Raw genomic sequence first — 22,533 nt, forward strand, 5'->3', positions numbered from 1 at the left:
CGATATAATTTCTTTTGCTGACTTTTAATGTTAAAAATACAGTAATTTTATTTGTGCAACTGATAACTTTTTCAATAGTTCTGTGACCTTAAATTCATTACAGAAACTCTAAATATCAGATTCTGCAAAGAAAGGATGTAGCAAAGCATGAAGCTAGTGGCTACATACAAAAGGTACTGTTTCTTAGTTAAATCGGTTATTACTATTTTCTTAGTTTTTAAAATTTTTCTGATGTTATTTCTGCCTGAAATGCCATTTCTTTTCTGTTTACTTTTCTCCTGAATCTCTATACTACGAAATCACTACCAATATTTAAAGTGGCTCTCAAATCCATTCAAGATGAAACTTAAAAAATTTTTAAACTCAGAATCATTCTCTCCAGTTTGGCTGCCCAGTATCTGATTTATTGATTACACTACCTGTTGGCTTCTCTAGCTACCTGGTTGGTTTTATTCATGCCTTAGCTCTCCTAATAAATCATAACAACTAGAAAGCATGGTTTCCCTCTCAAGTGACTATAACCTTATATTCCTTTAATTAACAAATCTTTGTTAAACAATTTCTCAATTCATGTTTGTGCATTTGAGATTAAATCTTGATGAAGAGGGCACTGAATTTAATTAGAATAGTTTATGGAGAAACATTGTATTATCCATATTTCACATGATTTTCTTTTAGCAGCTCTATTCTCACTCAAAAGTCACCCATGATAGTGCATTCAATAAATAAAAGTTATTTTCTCAAAAACTCTTTAAAAATTAGAAAAGTGGCCTGATGGAAAAAAAATGTCAATTGACTTTTGGCTGGCAAACTCCATCTGGTAGGCCTGGGAAATGCCACCAACTGCCAAATTTCATACCATATGGGAGTTTCAAAGTATTTATTTAAGAAATATTTTAAAATAACAATGTCACTAAAGATATTCACCATATATGGTTGTCACAGACAAAATTCCATCATCTGGGGAAATAGAAACTAAAATGAAAAATAGGACAAAAATGAATCAATGAGCACAAAGCCCTATAAACTCATGCAGACAACAAATCCCACATTCATGCACTGAACTTTAAAAAGAAAAATTAACGGATCTAAGGTTCTCCTCTTTGTCTTTTCCTCTTTTTTTTCTCTCCGATGGGTAACACACATCCATAAAACAATAACTATAAAGCACGGCTCTAAGAGTTGTCTATGTAAGATTAACTCATGTAATCTTCACATCAGGTAGGAACCCTCTTGTGTTTCCATCTGTATCCTCTCCTTCCCCAGGAAGAGCTGAGGGTGCCTGTCTCAACCCTGACTCTATCTTTTCAGTGTCTTTAGATGTGTACTGGTCTGTGCCAAGCTGTGAGGAGAGATAAGCCCTCTAGGACAAGTCTTGTGGTTGTCCAGTATGTCTCCTCACCATGGTTCTCAAGGGTGGATTTTAAAAGCCCACTTTTGCCTACACCAAAGTCACATCTTCCTGCCTAATATTTTTATCTCTATCTGCCTGACTTCTTTGGATCTCAATAGTTTCTAACTTGTGTTAGAAATTGAAAGGGTCACATCACCTCTTCAAACTACAAAAAACTACTCTATGATTTACCTCCAATTATTAGTTTATAGATGAGGAAACTGAGGACCAAAGAGACAAAATAGTATGTTCAAGGTAACATTCTAGTAGGTGGCAGGGCCTGGGTCACACCACAGCATTAGGTTCTGAAGCTTCCCCCACCATTATAATAAAGAGGAAGATAGACCAGTGTAAGGAGACACAGATGATCCAAATAAAATAAATTATTAACAATATCTAGCAATGGATTCATGTTTCCTATATTAAAAATCAACTCTTTTAAAAATAACGTTTTATAAATTACTTCAATTTAGCCTTAATGAATAATTATCAAGTTTTTACTATTAGAAATTTCTGGTCTCCAGGAGATAGATAAACACATAAAGTAAGATTCCTGACTTTAAACACTATAATATAATAGATGAAACAATAAAAATTCACCAATTATAAGGATATATGTATTTTTCTAGGGGTGATACATTTTGGCTAACAAAACACTCCTAGATTAAGTAGCATTAAGACACTAGTGAATGGATAAATTATGAAGAACATTTAGGACAGTGTTGAGATATCAGGCTAGAGATAGAATTTATGAGGAAAACGTAGCTACAAACTAATGAAAATCAAGTTTAACTTTTGGAACATTTTTATTTCCCTTAAAAATATGTATTTTATCTTTGATATAAACCAGTATTCTCACTTTGAATCAAGTTGTGGTTACCTGGATTCTTTGGTTTATTATTCTTTTATAACACATTTTATCAAATAGAAATATACACATATATGTAGCTAGAAGTATTTGGGGTCTTAATAAAAGTGAGTGAAAATATGGTTGAGTGACCCAGTCCTTGTATTTGAGTGGCTTCTGGAGTTGAAATTAAATAAGACAACATAATTTACGTGATGTGCCTCCCATTTCTGTTCTACATAAATGAACCTACAACATTTATGTTATTTTGGACTGAGAAACTGAAAGTATTAGCTAAGCCTGCCACCTAGTGAAAAATCTAGAACTAATACTTACATAATGAAACACTGTATGTTAACCCCCTTTATATCCATAGACTATTACTTGTATTCAGTTATAATATTTTATATTTACAAATTTGGTTGTCTAATAGATTTATTTAGTCTCCTTTGAAACACTAACACCATAAATCTATTTCTGGGTCTTAATATAAGCTAAACACATTTTGCATGTAGAACATTTTAGAATTAAAATGAAATAATACGTCTCTTTTCCCTGGGCACTAGAAACATAATAGAGCAATACTGTAATTAAAAAAAGAAGATATAGTTTGTTCTATTTAAAACTTTTCTACAATTACTTCGTGTTCTGACTCAGTGATGTAAATATAATTGTGGAGATGTGTAAAATATCTATGGAAGAGTTCTCTGCCTGCATTAATTTATTCAATAAATATTTTTACTAACCAATATAAAGATGAAAAACACACCATATATTCTATTTCACAGGCTACTGGGGGAACTCTGAAACTAGCTGTATTTGTATCATAAAGCAAAAAACACAAATATAAGAATATTGGAAAATGTTTATGACACATTATTCAAAATATTACCTACTGAGCTATATATTACACTATAAATTCTGATTTGCCATGGTAGCTGGAAATAATGTTTTTAATTAACAGGGGGTATACATTAATAGGAGGTATACAGACACACTTAGATACACATAAAACACTACTTGGGATTTTTGGACTGCAATTGACTATCAACACTAAAACAAGTATAAATGTATGTAATCTTTCATAAATAATTTTAAAATACTTCAGGGAGTCTGAGTTAGTAATAAATGACAGTATGATAAATATAAGGAATCCTCTGTATTCAAAAATCTTATCCATGTAAACCATCACCAATCTAAACATTAAAAGTGGTTTTCACTATATAAAGATATCAATCTTGTATTTATACATGTTGAGTATTTTAAATTATTTACTTATGGTTATATTATTTAGAAATCTGTCATTTTCCATGTGCATGTACATGTTGTTTCCTTCGTAAGATTATGACTACTTGTGCCAATCTAAGACAATATTCTTTTCTTTAAAAAAACAGAAACAAATAAACAAAACTTGCCCTTCTATGCTCTTATAGTTGTGGCAATACAGAAGTCTTTTAACTGGTCGGCTCTCACCCACTCTTTCTTTTCCTGAAACAATTCTCTACATTGTACCTGCAGTTATCTTTTAAAATTTCTTTATTCTTCAATGATTTCCTATTATTCTTAAAATTCAGACCAACATATGAACATACTTTACAAAGCCATGAAAATATGGCTTCTAAATTCCATTTCAGCCTCCTCGCACCAGTCTTCCTCTTGCTCTGCTCCAAGTCCTTGAATAGTCACTACCAGGATCTCAGAGCTTCGTATATGCTGCCGCCATATGGAATGTGCTGTACCCATCCTTTTGCCCATTTAGTCTCTCTTCACTTTTCAGGTAAAAGATTATCAGTTCCTCAGGAAGACATTCCCTGACCCATGGGACTAGAGCAAATATTCTTATTATCTGAGTCTATATACAATTCTACATATTTTCCCCAATAATTGCCACAGTTATAATTCTCTAATTAAAATTTTAAATGACTGGCTTAATACCTTCTCTGTTAGACTATTAGTATTCAAAGGCCACCAGCTATGTCCACCTTGTTCATCACTGCAGCCACAGCATCCTGTACAATCCTGACACTTACTAGATGCTCAATAAACCTAGGGGCCAAGCATGATACATTAACAAATCACAATTGCAGGCATGGCCACAGAAGTCATCCTGTCCTACTATAGATCTAATGCAGGAGTTGCTCCATTCCAACCAGATAACAATCCATGACCTGTTTCAATGTTTCCATTGACATTGCTCATTATCTTACAAGTGTGGTCAGCTAAAGTTCAGAAAACAAAAGCAAAAACAGCAACCAAAAATCTTTGTATTAAAACAAAATCAACCCAAGGGGACTTCTCAACTAGGTCACGCCTGGACTTTTACCATACAAATTCTGTACCCATTCTGCCCTAAACATTATATTCTGTGTGCTCTCCAGAGAGACTTTTTTTCCCCAGCTCCTAGGTAAAGTTCTCTTGTCTTTCTTGACACTCTGGTCATAGCCCTGAATCTGCCATTTTTTTTTTAATTCCTAGATGGGCTAAGATGAGACACTAAATTTCTCTAAATGTTTATTTCTTTCTCAGTAAAATGAAAATAATGACAGATGCCAGTGACATGCCAAACAGCCACCAAGTGGGATATTTTGGTAGATCAATTTGACATAGACTTTTTACTGTGGTTGTTTCTAATCCAAAGCACATTTTGTTTTGTGGGTTTAAACTTTGTTTAGATATTAGTACTTGTTCATACAAATATGAAAACATGAAATGTTTTCCAATTGTAATGATTGTCTTGTTAGCTAAATCTTTAGAAGGATACATTTAAATTTGAAATTGAGGACTTGCTTTTCTTTCACTTTTTAGCAGCTCTTTGTACTGGGATGGCTTACTTGAGTGTCTTCTTTTAGATGTGTAAATAAAAACCCTTTTGGGGAGAGAGGTACAACAGGATCTAACCCGAGGAAGATCTTATCTCCTTATTGTCTTTGATATGCAGAAATACTGTGTAGGGAGGCGAACAGCCAATTGCTTAGGATTCAAGGAGTCTTCTGAGTAAAGGAGTGGAGATACACTATTCCTCCAGGGAATTTGGAACCTCTGGACTGGAGGTAGTTCCAGAGAAAGTTTGCTGCTTTAAAGGCCTACTAAGAGTGTCCCCTCCGCGAGAAAAATAAATAAATAAATAAATTTAAAAAATGATAAAACTCATCATGAGAGAAGGAACGAATCAGGGTAAGTGATAAATAAAAGGCCTGTCTAGGTCGTTCTAGGACTCTCATGATGTCTGTAATTTACTTTTCGAAACACTTCAAAATAAACAATGTGATACGTGCATGCATTGGTTTAAGTTAAATACCAGGTGCAGCAGGCATTCTATTTCATCACCTAAGCTTTGGTTTTTAATCTGAATGTTCACACAACATTACTTCTGTTATCTGTACTTCTATCAAAGTCTTAGGCCTTACTAATCAACGAATTAGAAATTGGCTCTTGATTGAGAATATTAATGGTGTTCTTTAAGATACAAGGATTGGCTGAAATATTTTAAAGATACTATTCCCGCATGCATAATTAATGTATAAGAATTTAGTTCTCTTAGAGATGGGGCCCAAAGCTTTAATCCTAAATAGTCTGATATCCAGCCATTGTGATTGGATTTCTAGTTGTCTGATGCTTACTGATGAGGGTAACTGGATCCTACCTCTGGAATGTTGTCATCTGCCTCTAAGGAATTTCATGCAAGGTGGTGGGTAGAGAACCTAAAAGGAGAGAAAACTGGGAGTAGGAGGAAGAGAGAAAAGGGAGAGAGTTGAGATCAGTGTCAGTGTGTAGTAGATAATCAGTAATTATCCATTGAGGATTTCAGTGCAGCAGTGATTATCATGACTGATCATAGATTTGAATCTGGGTAAGGAAGGGAAAAAGCCCTCAGGTGACTAGGGTAAGTAAAAAGGTAGTAGGATCGGTGGATGACAGGTTCCAGTGTGGTCAAAGGACTATTAAGAGTTGAGAATATTAGAAGAAATTAGATAGAAAATGAGTAGCACTACTCAGAGTGTTGAATGCTAGAAACTGAGAATGTGGAGTGTAAAATTATTCATAGTTCAAGGTTTAGGCTATGACCATGAGAATGGGTGGTGAAGGTCAGATATTCAAAGGATCATCTAGGTAAGATTGTTGAAATCATCAATAATTATGATAATCAGGGTTGGCAAGAGTCATAGTAAATCAGGAACTAAAATCTCCAAGGAATGCAGAAGAGTGATCTGGAGGATGATAATTAACCACATCTGTAAAATGCAACTCCCAAGTCTGTGTGATTTTGGTCATTTATGAGCAAAAGTGATTCTTCTTATATCATAGAAACCTATAAATGTCTGTCTTACTTTTTATCATGTAAAACTAGCCTAGCTTAGCATACACAGATTAGCAGCTTAACACACAACACAAAAAAAAAGTTTCATATAATTTTTTCCTAAAAAATACTGTTATATACTTAGAGAAATAATAGTAATGTCATGATAGGGCATAAGAAAGGAAAGAACAGAGGTAATTTCTTTGCAATTTGGGTTTTTAATAGTTCTTTTGAAAAATTCTGCTCAAAACTATTCAGTCTAGATTACTATATATATACCATAAAAACTATATAATTTTTAAAATATACTGCTGAAGACAGATAAGCCTAATAGTTAAGGTATCCAAAGTTATTAATTCATTCATTCATCCATCCATTCATTCATTCAACAAGTGGTAATCACATCTTCAGCTAGGTACTCAGAGTAACATAGCCTTTGCACAATTAGTTGCCATATATGTATCTGTCCATGATTACTATGGTGAGTTAATTTGTTTTAAATTACTAATTACAGCCTTTGAACCTCTCAGTAAGATGGGGATTTATTATTTCCTTGGAATCAAAATAATTCATCCAGAGAATATATAATAAAAGTTAAATCAATAGAAATGTCACCATAATAGAAATAAAATTCATGGTAAATTGAAAGTTTAAATAACATGTTTAATTAAAAAGACCTAGGATCCTCTTTTATATAATTAGCTTTTGCCAAGCATGGAATCAAAAAGCATGATTTTTACCCTACTCACTAGCTATAAATCTCATCCTTGAATTAATTTTCTACCCTGTAATTTTCTTTTATATTCTCTAGAGAAAAAAAATTTATATATCTGTAATATTTTAAACAAGTTCTATATAGTGTCTTTTAAAAATGTACTGTTTAATACAGCTCACTAGTTAACTAGTTAGCTATATTCTAAGTGAACTGCTGCATTATAATAACTTTAAAGTGTGTATTTCTTCTTCTGGAACAAGAGGTTCTTATGCAAATTCAGTGTAGATTTTCCAGGTGCTATGACAGATTCTTTAAATAACTGATCTCTAATCTTTACATTAACACTGCAAGGTCGGTTATTTTCTGCAGCATTTTATAGATGAGAAAAACTGAATCTTAATGAGGTTAGGAAGGTCACAAAGTTAGTGACTGTCAGCTGGAGCCTCTAGGATATACATTGTGCCAGATAAAGTTTGCTGCTGTATAGTCCAAGGTCAGTGGCTTTTCCCTTCTGCCACATGGAAGTGATAATTATACTGCTAGTAATATTAATAGCTAATATTTATTAAGTAATTAAAAATGACCAGGTATGTGCTAAGTAAGGCATTGCATGTTTCTAAATCTTTAATAATATTGTGATTAATATATTGAGATGTAGAGAAGAAAAGTAATTTGCCTAAGATCATACTAAAAATAGGCAACTTAACACAGACACGCATCTAGGCTCTCTCCTTTGAATTTTGAACTCAAATTAGAAGGCAAAATAATTAACCTCAATATATGCTTTACTACAATATGAAAGTATGAAAGTGGAGTGAACATGGATGATGAGAAAGTTGAGATTGTTTCATTTACCTCTGTAATTTGGTAGCTCACGTATTTTCTTCAGGCTTCTGCAAAACTCATACAACTTAAAAAATGGTCTTTTGGATATTTAAAATTTCATATGATTTTAGGGAGAATTGTTCCAAGTGAAACAGATGCCTTGAATGACAGACGAGTTTGACTTTACTTATAGCATGGCTCTTTCTCTAGTCAGGATTGTTTACTCTTACCCAAAGACAACCATAATGGGGATTCATATCCCCATTAAATTAAATTCAATTAATTAAATTCAATGGGTACATTTAATTAATAAAAGACAGGAAAACAGTGAAAATGATGTCATGACTTTGCTCCTAACATGGGTAACTTACCTGTTCACAGCTGTGCAGTCTTTCAGTCCTAGCTATTCAGTATGTAAATGCAAATATTTGGTCACTGCTAGGCTTAATACCAATACGAGAACATGGGCTGCTTGTCAAAACTCATGACTACTAGTACACATGATTTTCAAGAATTTGCTACTGTTAAACTATCTGAGAAAATAGATATATCATTCAATTTGTTTTATGAGAAGCATTACTGATCTGGTGTTAAAAATTTAACTTTATGCAGTGCCAGTCATGCTCAATAAACATTTACTTTATGAAAAAAATGAATAAATGAACATAAAGTTGGTGTGTCTCATGTTCATTCCTCACAGAGTCAGTGTCAAATATTTTACCAATGTTTAGCACAAAGTAAGTGGCAAGGTTGGATGATTCAGCCACTTACCTGAAGAGTGTCTGCACGTTCACAATGGTTTTGGCATCTGCCATGTAGTCTTCCTCGGCACTCATGGTGCTCTCTTTATCCACAACCACCATATTAGCAGCAAAAGTCACTCCACACCTGAGTAAGTCATCTAGGCTTTGATAAAAATCAACAGAGAAAAACAAACATTAAATAAATCACAATGTTATAATCAGTGCTAAAGTCTAGCACTATCCCCTGTGCTTATATAAGTTGCCTTTAGAGGTGGCTTTTACAGAGTGTGCACAGGTAGCTATTAAAGGGAATTATGATACAATATTATCTACCAATATGAAATAATTTTTATTTTGGGTACTTTACATGTCATTAGATCTCAACTGTTTCAAAATATGTGTGTTAAAATATTTTCTTTAATAATTTTTATTAATTATATACATGAAATATGGAATACATCCATTTTGCAATAAAATAGAGCATATTAGAAATTTGTTTTTACAGTTAACATACTACTTCAAAGACACATTTACTTTTTTTTACTTCTAAAGTAATTTTGGTAAGAGAGGAATAAATAAGTGCTATGTTAATTTAGATGGTCAAGCTTAACGAAAAAATACAAAACTATGAAATGTTTATTTTTAAATGTTTATTATTCCTTTATGTAAGACCTATGTGCTATAGATTGGTTCTACACAACCAAGAGCATATAAAATATACAAATTCTGTTGTATGCAAGCCTACTGTTTAGCCAGCCTAAGTTTTTGAGCAAGTGATTGAATAACCCGATTTCTTTGGCTGGATGAAGTAATTGCTAAAGTAGGAAACACATACCTGTGAGCTAAAATAGAGTCAGTCTTCTTCCCTATCACTGACAAAAAAAAAAATCTTACCTATCATTCTCCCAATGAATTAAAAGAAAATGTTTATTTACCGTTAAAGCTGAAACAGGGAAACATTATTCTCATTGCCTCTGCTTCATGCAAACTAGAAAAGTAGAACTGAATTGGATAATGGAGACTAAACTTGAATGAGTACAAGAATGTTCTAGGTACAGAGTTGATTGAAGACAGATAAGAAAAGATAGGTTAATTGATTTCCGTATCTTCTGATTTATAATAGGATGTTTAAAGCTTAAAGAGCAGTAGTTTCTCTTAGGTTTTTAAATTGAAGAGTGAAGTCCCTGAGGATCTTTTCCAAGTGCATGATTGGTTGAGTTAGCCATGTCACGTTAGAGGGAATTATTTTCCTTTTATGGGAAGGCGGGAGGCAGGATTTCTTACTCTGTTATTAGGCGACAGGGTATTACCAAAGCCTTGAGTCCAAGATCCCCAGGAGTAGTCCAGAAAAAATATTTCGCTTGAATCAGGAACAATGGTCTGTGGCAGAGATTTTATGGCTAAAACTGTGGAAACAGAATGTTATTCCAAATAAATTTCCTATGATAAGAGGGGCCAGGACCATAACATCCAACCACTATGATGACCTTCAAGTTTAAATGCCTAGGGATACTTGGGTCTTTCTTTTATTCAGGAAATTTATCATAATTTTTCTTAATTTATTAAAGTACATTAAAAAAGAAAGAGTTAGATGGAAAATGAATGTGTTATGGCCCTTGTGGACCATCAAAATGACGCTTAAGTCATATGTCTTCACACCACCTTATCATAATTTTACATCACTTTCTCATATTTCAGCTTTCACAATCTTTTTTCTTCATTAATAAAACATCTCCATTATAATTACCTATATAGGAAAAGGAAAGGATAGGGCAGTCGAGGATAAGAGTGACTGGATAAGTATATATGCATAGAAGTGAAGATAGGAAAGATGAATAGTTAATCATCAATCATTCAATGACGTTGAAGTGAACATTTGACCAAAACTTCACTTTGAGAGTACCTGTGCTAAATAGCTGTTACCTATACCCACGTGTGTCGGTTAATTCCAGTCTCAAAAATACTGGCTGTTATAGTTTACTCATAACCTTGGCAAATTATCGTTACATATCAATTTAAATCTATATAGAAAGTAGATAAATTTGGAATAATATTTCTGAACCATGTGGAAGCTTTTTAATTATTTTCTGCTTTAAGATTATATTATTATTTTTCTATTTACTACTGCATTTATTTTTTTTTTTTAAGTAGGCTGCCAACTTATTCTTATAACTCCTCTCCATCATAATTTCTGCAAGGCCATTGCCTTATTTTTCCCTCAGCATGGCTGCTTTACACAGTGTGGCCAGCAGATGGGAGCACAAGAAAGTCAATCTAGATGGAAAACAAGTTATAGGGATAATTGGCAAAGCCTCCCTTTCTATCCCTCTCTAAGACCCCTTTTTGCAAGGACTAGAATGTGAAGTACGTAAGTGTAAAGAAGTGTTCATGAATGTGTTTTAATTCATTCAAAGAGGTATTTTTAAAGAAAGATTTCAAATACAAGCAAAAGAGGAGAATTGTTAGATGAACATAACTGTCCCCAGACCAACAATTATCAATTCGTAGCCAATTCTGTTTTATTTCTGTCCCTAGGAATTTGATCCTTTCAATTATTTATTCTCTCACCATAAATACTTGTACAGAGGAAGAATCCACTTCATAGTTTGCATCAGAAAAGGTATATGGGACGTTTATTCTTTAGCTTTTAGATATACTGTTTTTCTAATAAATTTTAACAGAACACTATTACCTCAAAAGATTTCAAAAAAGATGATTGGTTATAAAACATGTGTAGAATTTAAATAGTAATTTTAGTACATCTAACTACAGTTTATTTACTTGGTTAGTATTATCATAACTGATGAGGTAAATTATATTAACATAGAATGGAGGCTAATCATATTTTAGACTGTTTGACCTTTAATGTATCCACAGCACTAAATACTTTCAAAGTTGTAAAACTGTGTTTTCTTCAACATCTACAGGATAAAATGTAAGTGTTAAAGTTCTCAATTGGTAAATTTTAGCATTTTATTTTGAAGGCTCTGGCTGACATTTTTTAGAAGTGGAAAAGTAACATATATTATTTCAAGTATATTAGCGTTTTGATCTTTTATTTTTATATATATTTTTAATGTCACCATAATACATGTATAAGAATTTGTATTTAATTACTAATGTATTAAACACATATGACCTTTTCATTAACAAATATTTTAGAAATTATAAACTCTGACATGTGACCAAAGTAAACTCTAAAGGAATTGCTCCAATTTATAAATCTAAGTTAAAATGAGCATTTCTAAATTATTTCAAAGTTTCCAGAAGTTATCGTAACGCTATCAATGCATCACAATATTGCAACTTTAGTTTTCTCTACCACTATGTCAATAGTAATAATGTTGTTATAGATGACACAAAACTAAAACAGCATTAGAAACTGAGCAAAACTGACAAAATTGACATGCAGCAAGATTTGTTTTAATTCAACAATAGATTACTACTCAGAAAGTTTAATACAAGATGTATAACACGAGAACATAAGCTCTACATGCAAAATATATCATATTTGCAATACTGACACGGCAAATTACACTCATCATGCAGTAACAAGGCACAGCACATGACAAACCACAGGACACTACACTAGTTAGTGTGCCAAAGATTTTGTCACCTACTTGTCAATAGAGCCCACCATGTAGTAAACCATTGGAAACCAACAGATTGCATCCAGAAAATGCATATCTGGCCTAAGTAGTAGATGGGTTACAAAATGAAACACAATGTCACAACAGTGGCAGCACTTCTAGGGAAAGGAAGTAAGTTGACTTAGTTTGCATTTCCAAAACTCAACACTGCTGACAAAATTAATTTTCAGTGCTTTTTTTTCTTAACATTAACTAGAAAATGTCATTTGCACTTGTTATGAATCATAAAATGCCCTCAGAATTATAAAAACAAGTTGTATTTCAGCTTTCTAAATCAGAAACATTATCGCATAATTCTACAAAAATACAGAATTGATATTCTTAATTATGACCAAGAAATCTTATAAATAAATTTAAAAGTTATCCATGCACAGGAGGCCTTGTAAAATAAAAAAACTAATGCATTTTTTTAGATGATCTAAAGCAATGGGTACTAATGCCTCTTAGTGAGCAACTATTAAGCATGTCTATTAAGAACTACTTTCTCTAAGGGATATATGTATAATCACAACATGCCCTATATAATATGTCAGTATGTCAAATAAATATAGTATATATGCTCATGCAAAATATGTATTATATAAAATTATAGTGAAAGTAATGCATTTTTAAATTTATTGATATACTCTCTATATATTATTGAGGAAACATTTATGACTGAAGTCTTTACTTATATACATATTTGAGGAAAGAACCATAAACTGGAAAGCTTCCTTAGAAACTGCTTAATCTATTGTATTCATTTCACAAAGTTATTAATTCCTTCATGTATCTATTCACTCAGCATATATGTATCCAAACATTTTATTTAATAGACATTTTAACACATTCAGGTATATGCAAAAGAATATCCTGTTAACTTGTAAGAAATAAAGAGTTTTAAAAATTATGTACAAAATCATACAATTCTATTATATATTTTAATCTGTAAAAACAAACAATATGTTATATTTAGGAGGCAGAATTGAGGAACATTTCACAGAGCTGATATTTAATTTGAATGTTAAAGGATTAGTAGGAGTTTGTTCAGCATATGAGGAGGAGAAGAAAATTCTAGGCCAAGAAAACTGGTACCTACAAGCCTCCCTGGCTAGATGAACTTTTTGTTCTCTCCCTGACTTATTTCTCTCCTGTTGGTCATCCTTCTAGCTCTTTACACTCTGAAGAAAAAGAATGCTTAATACAGCAAAACATTTAAAGAAAAAAAAAAAAACTTGTAAAGAATACCATTATTTTAATTTTGATTAAATTTCTCCTATCATTAATTTTCTTTGTAGTCATTAAAATGACCCAATAGTATTACATCTTACGAATGTACCACAATTCATTCTTAAAATCTTCAGTTACTTATTTTGTAAGTTATTTTCACTTTTTTCTGTGAAATACTGCAGTTATCAGTTCTTTGCAGTACCTTGCTATCGTATTTAACACTGGTATTCACATCTTCCGAAGACCTTATTTTCTTTTTTTTTTTTAAGCATTGATTTTTTTTTTATCATTATCCCAAAACATTTATGGAAGGGATATTAGTGGATCACAGCCTATAAACAGTTTTAAAGATCCTGATATATGTTTTCAACAAATATTATAACCAAATATACACTCCAGTAGCAGTCTCTGATAGTGCCTTATGGTAGAGATTTCTAGTTATACTCTTTCTAGGTACTGTCCTGCTTCTTAAAATTAGCAGGGCTATTTTAATTGCTGATTCAAAACCCTCCACATCTCTCTCACCCTGTCTTGTAATTGGAGAAGCACATAGGAGGATGCAGGTACCACAAGAGTGGGGCAACACTGGGCTGTTGCGGTGATCTGAAAAATCCCTTCGCCTGTGTCTTGAGGTCACTGTGGACAAAGTAAGTCTTGATTTTATGCCAACCCTTCTACTAGAGTTAAAAATGAAGATAAGGCCTTTCTATTTTGTTGCTTTGTCTAGCAGAGAATATAAAAGCTAACTGGCCATCAAATTTAATCATTGTTATGCTTTAAGAAACTCATGAATTTCAGTCACATGCAATTCTACCACAAATATGTACTTACAATGGGCAAGCAATGTGCCAAATCCTTGGAAATTGCTTTAACATCTGTATTGTGGTAGTATGGTTCATCCTTACATGAATTCAGCTATGTTACAAGGTAAATGAAGTCACCTGAACCCTACTAAATATATAATCCTGATGAAGGATATCTAAGGTAAGTGGTCTATTATGCCGTATTCTTTGCAAAATTTAATTTAGCATAATAGATAGATTCATCTACTACAGCTATTGAAAAAAGGTGGCTTAAAAGGAAATCTGAAACATAAAGAATAAATAAATTGTGCATTTACATGTATTATGCCAGCTGACCTAAATACATTGTCAACAGTGTTCATGGCACCGACCTGTTTAGTAATTGAGTAACATAAATGATATTATAGGCTCATAATAAAACAATTTTTTAATCATTGGGAGGCAGCTAATTGGCAAGCACAACCTTTACATTGGGAAGCATTATTATTGAAAAACATTAAACAAAAACATAAAACATTCCTAAAACTAGATGTCCTTTTCCTACATTATGTCCCCAAAGTACTGATGAAGAGTTTTATATTTAAAAAATTATGCAGTAGAATAAAATGTATGCATTTTAAAAAATCTGACTGCTAAACAGAGAAGGCTTATTTACGTTGGGAATTACATTAAGGAAAAGTGGTGACAATGATTGACAGATTTAACTACATAGCTCATTACAAACAGATTAATAAGAAATAAATGTCGAAAAATTGTTACTTATACAAAATTTGTAGACCACAGTTGCTTAATATATAAAGAAGTATTTGATAATCAATTAAAAAGGTAAACATGACAAAAAATAGATCCAGGGAAGAATAAATATACATGAATCGAAACAAAACAAAAAAACACAGGCTGAAACTAACCGGTAATAAACAAAATAAAAATTCAACAAACACAAAAAGTAACTGATGTTAGTAAACAGAAGGAAAATGAGCACATTCATTAATGAGTCTTAACTGTAATTCTATTAGAAAAGATGACGACTTATGAGCCAAAAGCCTCATATTCTTATAGAAATTCTCATAGCAAAAGTTGCCATCCAAATATTAGTCAGTGACTGTTAGGAAGTAAAAAAGGTTTGCAAATTTGTATGAATTTGTAAAATTCAAGGCCATTATTTTGTTCCCATTTAACTAATAACAATTAAAAATTAATTTCTTTATTTCAAGTTCAAGAAATGAGCATAGCATGCTTTTATGAGCACAGTTTATTTTGTTAACATTTCCTAATTCCACTTTTAAGTACTTTATTCCTTGCTAGACAATATGAAAGTAGTTTAATTTTAGCTACTTAAATAAGTGTCCTTTTTTATTAATTGGGTTTTCATAATCCGTCCATCAGTTTGAATAGTGACAGTGTTATTTTCTTGATTGGCAGAAGAAAAAAATGATGTTTCTTATCTTCCTTTTATGAATCAGATATTGCACTAGGATTTTATATACATTATCTACATCATCTCACAATAGCTTTTTAAGATAAATGTTTTAACCATTTTACAAATCAGAAAAATGTGGCTTAAAAAGACTCAGTAACATTTAACAGACCTATCAAGAGCATAAATTTAGAACTTAGATCTGAATAAGTCTAAAGTTTGAATTTTAAAAATAAGAACACTGACATCAGGGATTTTATCATTACTTTCAAAATAAGCTGAAGTTTACTTGGCACCATATGTGGAAAGAAGATTGATTTAATGAATGGATAGTGTGAAGAAGACCTTGATAAATATTAAGAGCAAAAGCCTGGATCTTTCCCTTCATCCTTATGTAGCTTTGGATAATATATTCTAGCTTTTGACTTGCTTTTCTATCTTTCACATGAGATGATGTTAAAAATGACTAGATGACCTTTAAGGTTGGGGTGGTAATCAAAATATTTAAAATCAGTATGGCACAACAGACCAAACAGAACAGATGGCCAGCCAATCAGAACTGACACCAGCTCTAATGAACCAGTACCAACTGAAAGATGCTTTTCAATATGACTGAGTTTTATTTAATTACCATTTAAGATCTAGAAAGGTTTATATTTGAAAACATTGTGAACACTTATTTTGGCATATTATGTGTATGAATATTATAAATTTAATTTACATTTTAAAATCCCATGCTTATTACATCTGCTATTATTTATTTCTGTTATATTGAATTAATTGCCGTTTCGACTAATTTTTAAAAATAGCCACATACTGAATACTATTTTCAGCTGTACTCATGTGAATTTTAAGTCAAACCCTCAAAACTAACTAATAATTCTAGAAGGGTATGCAATCATCATTGTAGGAATTCCTATAATATGGAAATATTGTAAAGAAGAAAGCCTCATTTTTTTTGTAATATTGTAGGATGGATTGCAAAGTGCTCTCCATTTCAGAGCAACAGGCATCTAATTGTTAAAAAAAAAAAAAAAGAATTGCATAAAACTTCCTGGACATTGTTAATTGGTGTTTAGTTTTAGTTTCCTCATTCTTAACCAAAGGAACAGAGGACAACAAATAAGAATATTCGACAATACTTTCGGGAAGTACACAGAAAGCTAACAGATTTTACAGCGTGAACTTTCAACCTAACCCTTTGAAATAAAGTCAAACCCTACAAGAATTATTTAATAACAATATAATGTGGATTGTTGGATTCCCAAATGTAAGCCATTAGGAAGGCAAAGGGAACTTTTAATGCAAAAATAAACCAAAGTTAAGATATATTCTTGTTTTCAAAAAGTATGAGCAAGCAACATGTATTTTTTTCATATATGAAAACCCTGTAAGTTGAAAGAAAAATAAAACAGAAATTTCATAGAAAGGTCTAATTCAAAAACTGACCATGAAAAAGGTCATTCACCTTCTTTGTGTCTCTTTTACATCCTCTTAAAATAAGAGACAGTGTTGTAGCCACCTCACACAGCTTTCAGTTTATTTAAATGTTTACATCGTAATTTGAGATTTTAAACTGCTTGGCACATCTCTCTAAGACTAAATCATCACTGTAATGTAAATATGTGACTTGTGCAACTAAAATGTAAAGTAAAGTGTGTAGTATGATGACTGACATGTAGTAGTCATTGTAATTATGAACAGAGGATGGAGGTAAATAATATTAACTTTATTGAATAATCTTTATGGTCTTATTCAGATGAATTATTATCTGATAAAAGCCACATCTATATTTATAGAGAAATACTAACCAGTTGTCAGTAATTAAGAGAGGTAGAGTTTTCAGATTATTTTGTGATTGATCAAGGAATGAAGACTGTGTAGCCAGTCCTTGAACAATCACATAATTGATTTTATAATCCTAATATACAAATCAATCAATCATTCAGTAATCAGACATTTTTGTAACCTGTTTATTCAAAACCAAACAGAAAGGGATTGATTTGGTTATAGCTACTCTAAAATCTACATAAAACATACAAGTAAAACACTTCTTAGCTCCTGTCACCTGTGTGATGGTGAAAATGGAGACTTAGAGATTTGAAATAAGGTTACCTAGCAAGACTGAAGATTGAAAATGAGGAGTCCATCTCTGTTCATAGAGTGAACTCCAGTCCCAGATATGAAGAGACTGATTTTTGGTAGGGAGGTTTACACATCAGGACAAGAAACTTTATCTTGAAATTATGTGAAGAGGAGGAAAGTACAGTTTTGTCCTTAGTCCTATCAGAAAGATGCTGTAAGCACAGTTCCACTTTTTTCTCAATCCACTTCCTACCTTCCTGTCTGTAACCTGGTACCTGAATTGATCCAGTTTGATCCAAGCCATACAACATATAGCTACTCTAAGGCAACGTTTGCAAATGCCATTGTCTTAACTTCCACTTTCAGGGCAATGTACTCATCATAAGCAAAAGAAGCCAAAAGCTGACACATTTGAACTCACACAGTTAGGCATCCCTCCTGTGGCAGCTCAGCCAATTTCTTGGAGCTTCCTAGCAGAGATGCTTCAGAATTAAGATTATATTTGAAAGAAGTGATTTACAACCACTGTATTGCCATAGCCATCCCACAATGCAACTTTGATTGTTCTAAAATTTGTTTTAACAAACTTTTATTTCTTCTGAAATTTGGTCCAAGTTTCTGTTCCCCTTCATTTACCCTAAATATGCCTCAGCTTTCCTTAGATGCCAAAGAAGTATAGAAAAAGTCATTGAGTAATCATATCTGAAAATTCTTCAAATGAAAATTCTACAAGTGTGATAAATTTTTGGAGTTGATTATTCTTATAATGATGATTCTAAGAAAGTTGCATCAATAAGTATTTTGATGTTGGTAAAGTGAGAATAAACAACACTATAAAGTTATAATGTACTGGGCAGATGTCTCTCTTATGAAAAACTTTGATAATTTTGAAAGGCAGAGACAAGGCAACGGAATTTGGCCTCATTTAGTAATAGTTCATCTTGACATTTGCATCACATTGGAATGGATGAGGAGAGTGAGAGAATCCTAAAATATGGTATTAATCTAAAGACCACCTGCTACTAATTTCCAGTCACAGAGACGGATATTATAATTTTAGAATAAAATGGCTTTGACTGTCTCATTCAGTGACCCATATTTATATTTGCATAAGAATTTTGAATTGCTTAAGTAGTCCTATTTAACAAAAGTAAACCAATCCAATATTTTCCAAATAAATGCACAAGGTAAAGCATTACTTCTATTATGTCATAGAATGTATGGTTTAACAGTGGTCCAGTCATAATAACCTCTGATGATGCTTTGTGTTATAACATATAAAAATGGATCAGTAAATGCTTCTCTGATAATTAATGGTTCTTTAGAAAGACAAAAAAAAAATTGTCCAGTTTTGGCAGAGATTTGTCAGGCTAGTTGATTAATTTAAGGAAAATTGCAGTAATTATTTCAGTGGCCTATTTCCTGTGGTATTATGAGTAGATGACCACTTGCAAAACAGTTTTAAATAAAATTCTCAGAATATCCCAGTTTTAAGTAGTATTTATGAATATAATCATATTCAATGATATATTTTGTATCACAGCACAGAATATATCTCCCAATGAATCATGTACCATAATGTATCTGATTTAAAATACTACCAGAATATTACAGGCAATTATTTTTGATATACATTAACATACTATTAAAAACAGTTTATCTTGTTTGTGTATCTTAAAATATACTTACGGGTTATCCAATAGCAGTACTATGGGATTAAGTTCTTTCTTTGGTCTATAATATGCCCTGAGAGGAACAATAAAGTTATATAATCCATTTCCAGCTGTTTCAGCTGCAACTATAATTAGTTTATTTTTGAATCCATAGGCTTTTGCATCCTCATAGTAGTTATGTTGGCAACTCTAGAGAAGAGAAAGTATACATTGAAATGCCATTTGGATACTTCATTAAAATTTGGAGAAAATTTAAGCTATAGGAAAATGTAAAATTAATTGAACAATGTAAATCCTTATTTTCTAATAAATTTGAAAATAGTTACATTTTTCTGTGCCCATTTCTGCAACCTGCAGTAAGAAATAAAAGTGTGCATGGACAAGGAAAATGAATTGCAGGTTTGTAGCTTGATGTTGAAAGAGCCAACATTTTGTGTGTGTGCTTGTTCTATTGTAAACTAAAGTTTGCTGCTAGAAGACATCCAGGTATACACTTTTACAAATTAATTTTCTCTGACTTTCATTTCCAGAAATATAGTAATATCATAATTAGGTAACTTCAGGAACATTCCCAGTACTGAATGCTTAAAGCGATGAAGAAAATAAAACAGTGAAAAAAAAAACCAAAAAACAAAAAACCCCTAACTGTCTACATGCATATTTGAGCTGGCACGATAATGATTCAAATACTCTAAAGTAAAATACCCAATAATACCAACAAAAACAAGAACAAAGCATTACCAAAACTCATCGTTGGGCTAAGGGCATTTTGCTATTTCATGGAGTCTAGAATTTGACAGAATTAGCGTTGTTAACCCAATATTATTTTCAGATAAATTATCTGCACGGAGAACTGTTTTGATGTTCTGCTATTTTACCTTTATATGTCTTTATGTTCATTTCTTATTTATGTGGGTTGAGATTAGTTAGTTGTCTGGAACATTTATCACCTCTGGAATATTCTGATCTTTTTTTTTTTTTTTGAGACAGGGCCTCACTCCTGCCGCCCAGGCTGGAGTGCAGTGGTGCAATCATCGCTCACTGAAACCTCAAATTTCCAGTCTCAGGTGATTCTCCCACCTCAGCCTCCCGAGTAGCTGGGACTACAGGTGGGCACCAGCATGCTCGACTAATGTTTTTGTATTTTTGTAGATACGGGGTCCTGGGCTCAAGCAATCCACCCACCTCAGCCTCCCCAAATGCTGGGATTACAGGCACGAGCCACCATGCTCGGACACCTCTGGAATATTCTTTGCCATTATTCTTGAATAAAAAAATTACAAAACACTGCTGAAAACAAAGCACCATGAGTAAACAGAAATAATCATAACAAGATAACTAGACCCACAAAGACTACGAATTTTGTGATTAAATTCAGAATATAAAATGAGCACATTTAACATGTTTAAATAAAAGAAAGAAAGTATTTAAAGCCTGAGAAAAGAACAAGAGGCTATGTAAAATAACATCTAGCAGGTAGATATTAAAAATAATACCTAAATCTATTTCTCTGTATCTTCTTGAAGTAAAGAGTGTAACTCAAAAGATTATTTAAATTACACTTAAGATTCAGCCAAAGGGATCACGTGCGGGACAGAATGGAATACAGAAACTAAAATGAAAGGCAGAGAAGAAAAAAAACAGAACCTAGGGTGAAAAAATTAAGACTTGGAAGCTATCGTGAGAATATCTAACATTTATTTAATCAGAATATCTGAAAAAGAGCTAAGAGAGAATCAGAAAGAAAACTTATTCAAGTAAATATTGGCTGAGAGTTTTTGAGATGTGATGAAAAATCAAATGAGAAGATCTTAAAGCAGACACAGAGAAAAGAGCCACATCTACAAGAAAAAACAATTGGAATGGTAGCTGACTTTTCAGCCATTATTTGGAGCACAGAAGGCAGTAAGTACAGTCCTTAAAGTGCTAAAAGAAAAAAAAAAAAAACCAGAAAACTAAATTAACAGCCTGGACTTGCACACAAAGTAAACCATCTTTCAAGAATGAGACCAAAATAAAAGGAAACCATAATTAAAAGGATTCTCCACCAATAGAATCTCCTTAACAGAATTTCTAAAGGTGGTAATCTAGGAAACAGGAAAATGAATCCAGAAGGAAATTCTAAGGTATAAGAAAGAATAGAGAACAAAGGAAATGGTAACAAACAAGGGCAACAAGTCTTTATTGAAAGGGTGCTTGGAGAATTATAAACAGAATCTGAAGTAATATAAGAAATAAAGTCACTCAGAAAGAGATCATGCATGCAACAAGAATAGTGTTGAGCTGATGTTTGGATCATCAAGAATGTCAATATTTATAAGATAAATAAAGGAAAAAATAACTTTCCCTAAGGAGATTTAGAAATAGCTCAATTAATAGGGAAACAAAGAGCAGAGAACAGAGAATTTAGTGTTCATGAACACTGACCAGGACACCAGCCCCACTGATACTGACACAGAATAAATTGGATAAGGCAATCCCAACTCACACACTTCACAGACACAGTAGAGTCAGCTGCATAATCCCATACTGTTCCTAAAATCCCAAAGTGGGTGCTCATTTACATAGCAGACCACCTTCTATCAGTCTAATGCTACCTAAATAACCAATAATTCCAGGTATCACTAGACAATCAGCAACACCCAGAAATTTTGCTTCATTAATATGGTAAAGAGACAGTTAATAGTCCTTTGATATTAAAATATCCTCTTATTGTGCCTCCATCAATCCTGTTCTCTGAAAGTTTAGCTTTTCAGTTAGATTGGGATCTCTGTTTGGAGATAAATTATTTCCACTTTTTTGTCTCCTAATATTTTTTTCTACTTTAACTGTGCATTTAAAGAAATAAAAACCAGAAGTGAATCCAGGTTTTGTGG

General features: G+C 32.4%; 1 protein-coding gene across 15 annotated transcripts in view; it reads right to left on the minus strand.

The window, feature by feature from the left end:
• KCNT2 (potassium sodium-activated channel subfamily T member 2) overlaps window positions 1–22,533 on the minus strand; it is a 382,662-nt gene that overhangs the window by 81,265 nt on the left and 278,864 nt on the right. For 7 of the 15 annotated variants that reach the window (NR_146057.2, XR_001737149.3, NM_198503.5 and 4 more), the window contains 3 exons: window positions 19,674–19,846; window positions 12,441–12,512; window positions 8,849–8,983 (listed from right to left, as the gene is read on the minus strand). Coding sequence is in view for 11 of the 15 variants with exons in the window: in NM_198503.5 (NP_940905.2) it covers window positions 8,849–8,983; window positions 12,441–12,512; window positions 19,674–19,846 (380 nt within the window). In the remaining 4 variants the exon portion in view is untranslated. Of the gene's footprint in view, window positions 1–8,848; window positions 8,984–9,244; window positions 10,227–12,440; window positions 12,513–19,673; window positions 19,847–22,533 lie in introns of those variants that run through there. The other 8 variants (NM_001287820.3, NM_001287819.3, XM_006711295.4 and 5 more) reach the window with 5 other exon arrangements.

Source organism: Homo sapiens, chromosome 1 (genome assembly GCF_000001405.40).
Source record: "Homo sapiens chromosome 1, GRCh38.p14 Primary Assembly".
Taxonomy (NCBI): domain Eukaryota; kingdom Metazoa; phylum Chordata; class Mammalia; order Primates; family Hominidae; genus Homo; species Homo sapiens.